Raw genomic sequence first — 2,981 nt, 5'->3', positions numbered from 1 at the left:
ACAGCTTTTAGACTGGGTGTGGTGGCTCACACCTGTAATCCAGCATTTTGGGAGGCTAAGGTTGGCAGATCATGATGTCAGGAGATCAAGACCATCCTGGCCAACATGGTGAAACCCCATCTGTACTAGCCAGGCATGGTGGCAGGTGCCTGTAGTCCCAGCTGCTCACTAGGCTGAGACAGGAGAATCACTTGAACCCGGGAGGCGGAGGTTGCAGTGAGCCAAGATCGTGCCACTGTGCTCCAGCCTGGCAACAGAGAGCGACTCCGTCTCAAAAACAAAAAACAAATGAAACAGCTTTTAATATGAAAATGTTACCAAAAAGCAAACTGATTAATAGAAAAATATAAACAGCCCATATACATAAGATAATACAATTTTACTGGGGGTAGGAAAAATATCAAGATAAACTATATGTTCATATGCTGAGAATGCAGTTTCAATTTCTTTCTCATTGTTTCAATAAGAGTGAAAAAATGTGATTTCCCTATGAGTTCCAACCAGAATTCTTAGTCTGAAGGTAGAAAATACTTTCCTAGCCTCCACTACTACTTTTGCTTTATATTTTATTGAATTTATTCATTTTCATTAATCCTTTTATTCATTGATTCTGTTTATGGTATACCAGACGTGGTACCTTGTAGGAACTATTGTTATCTATCGGGCAAGTACTTTATGGATTATAACTGTATATTCAATAAATAGAAATTTCTCCTTGATATCAAAACATCTTTATTTGAACCATCACTCTTTCTGGTCGATTATCAGTATAAAAAGGGTAACATGAATAATAGAAAATGGTTCTGAAGCCTACAAGGACATTTGAAATCATGGTATAAACTTCATTGTTTACCCATCAGATGCTAAATAGATTTTTGCTTTTATAGCCCTGAAGTAGTTAGATAGCATAATATTTCAGAAAACAATGGCCATCAGTTTTGATATATAAAAATGAAACAATTATTAATGAAAAACTTATATTTTTAATGAACTAACATATACAATGTGTCCAGCTAGTCCTTGTCTCAATAAATGATAGCTGTTATCATGATCTGATATTTCTATCATCATTGCTTGGCAGGGTATCATGGTAGTTAAGCATATGGTTTGGGAAATCAGTGAGATTCTGGTTACTGTCTATTTTATATTTCTATTTTAACACTGTCCCCTTCTCTCAGTTTCCTCTTTGGTAAATGGGGATAAGAATAATGCCTCCCTCAGTTTGTTATGGACATTATTACTTAATATAGATATATTTATTTTATTACTTATTTTACATTTATTAGAAGGAAGGCCTATGAGTTTCATATATATGGATGAAGCTAGTGAAACTAAGCCCCGAATCGGTAGAATTTTCCCAGTTTGTGAGAATGATACATGGTTAGGTTTTCTCCTTTTTCCTGAACCCATTTTGACTCCCCTCAAGGCATCATCTATGGATCACAGTGGTTAATTATTTTATTTATCAAATAAGTATTCCTTGCTGGCATTACCCAAAATGTCCTTTTGACCCTTGCCTCAGCTGAATCATGTTGGGCTCCAGTCACATTTATTTGACACTTGAAATAGCTTTCCTACTACACAATTTCCTAATGGCATTTTTCATTTGAGCATTCCTCAAGGTGTAGATTAAGGGGTTTAACATAGAAGTTATCATAGTGTAGAATACAGCAACTGCTTTATCAATGGGTAAAGTAGCTGGAGGTCTCATGTACACAAATATGCAGGGTATAAAGGATAAGATGACAACTGTGATGTGGGAGACACAGGTAGAGAGGGCTTCGTGCCTTGCCTCTAAGCTGTGGGTCTTTAAGGAGTACAGTATGACCACGCAGGAGACCAGGAGCAAGAGACAGTTTAACAGGCATATGAACCCACTGTTGGCAGCAATGAAGAGTCCTAGAGTGTGGGTATTAGTGCAGGCAAGATTGATCAAAGTGTAGAGATCACACATAAAGTGATCTATGACATTAGGACCACAGAAAGGTAATTGACAGATGAAGAGGATCTGTATGGTTGCATGAAGAAAGCCTCCTACCCATGACACTCCCACTAGCAGGCTACAAACATGCTGCTTCATGACGGTGGTATAGTGCAAGGGCTTGCAGATGGCCACATAGTGGTCATAGGCCATTACAGTAAGTAGGATGACCTCAACACCTCTGAAAAAATGTTCTCCAAAGACTTGAGTCATACATCCATTGAATAAGATAGTCTTGTTTTCATAGAGTGAATCTGTGATCAGCTTAGGGGTATTGACAGAGGAATAGCAGGCATCAATAAAGGAGAGATAGGCCAGGAAAAAGTACATGGGGGATCTCAGTGATGGGCTGGCAGTGATGGTGACCACAATGAGCACATTTCCTATCATGGCGTTGATGTAGATGACAGAAAACACAACAAATATGATTTTCTGCATTTTTGGATTCTCTGTAAGCCCCAATAGAATAAACTCTGTCACATTGTTTCTATTCGCCATGTATTTCAAATGATGGTTAATTACATTACCTGAAAAGAAAACAATTTTTATTAATACATCTTTAAATTTGTTAAACTTCTCCACTGTAATATGTAATATAATAAATTCTTGGATTCTACTGGGTTGTGATTTGAGGATCTTTTCTGAGATAGGAAAAAGTTTTGAGTTTTGGAGGTTTACTCAAATTGCCTCCCTGGTGAAGACTGTGCTGAGAGTTTTGACATGAGAAACTTTTGTAGCACACAGGCAGGAGACCATCTGTGAACACTTAATCATCTGAAATGACTGAAAGTTGAATGATTGCACACATAGTGGCAACTAAGCCTGAAAAGATTATAGAATATAGATGTAAAGCATATGAATGCAAAGCTCAAAATTTGCTCTCTCTCTTTTTTTTTTTTAGAAAATAATGAAATGTGAAATGTCATGCACAATATGAGTGAAATGATAAAGAGGAATCTGAAGAAGGGGGATTCTTGGGATATTTCTCTAGTGAAGGTCT

General features: G+C 37.2%; 1 protein-coding gene across 1 annotated transcript; it reads right to left on the bottom strand.

The window, feature by feature from the left end:
- Nucleotides 1–1,482: 1,482 nt before the first annotated feature.
- On the bottom strand, nt 1,483–2,511 carry OR4C13 (olfactory receptor family 4 subfamily C member 13). Its single transcript, NM_001001955.2, has one exon. It carries the CDS (start codon nt 2,477–2,479, stop codon nt 1,550–1,552), a length of 930 nt encoding a protein of 309 aa, NP_001001955.2. The 5' UTR covers nt 2,480–2,511; the 3' UTR covers nt 1,483–1,549.
- Nucleotides 2,512–2,981: the final 470 nt, after the last annotated feature.

The sequence above is a fragment of the Homo sapiens genome, chromosome 11 (genome assembly GCF_000001405.40).
Source record: "Homo sapiens chromosome 11, GRCh38.p14 Primary Assembly".
NCBI lineage: Eukaryota > Metazoa > Chordata > Mammalia > Primates > Hominidae > Homo > Homo sapiens.
The sequence above is the reverse complement of the archived record's forward strand: the minus strand, read 5'-3'. Positions and strand labels throughout refer to the sequence as shown.

Bases quoted from the DNA above. Each gene is read 5' to 3' on its own strand.
- OR4C13 (NM_001001955.2), bottom strand. From the start codon at position 2,479: ATGGCGAATAGAAACAATGTGACAGAGTTTATTCTATTGGGGCTTACA.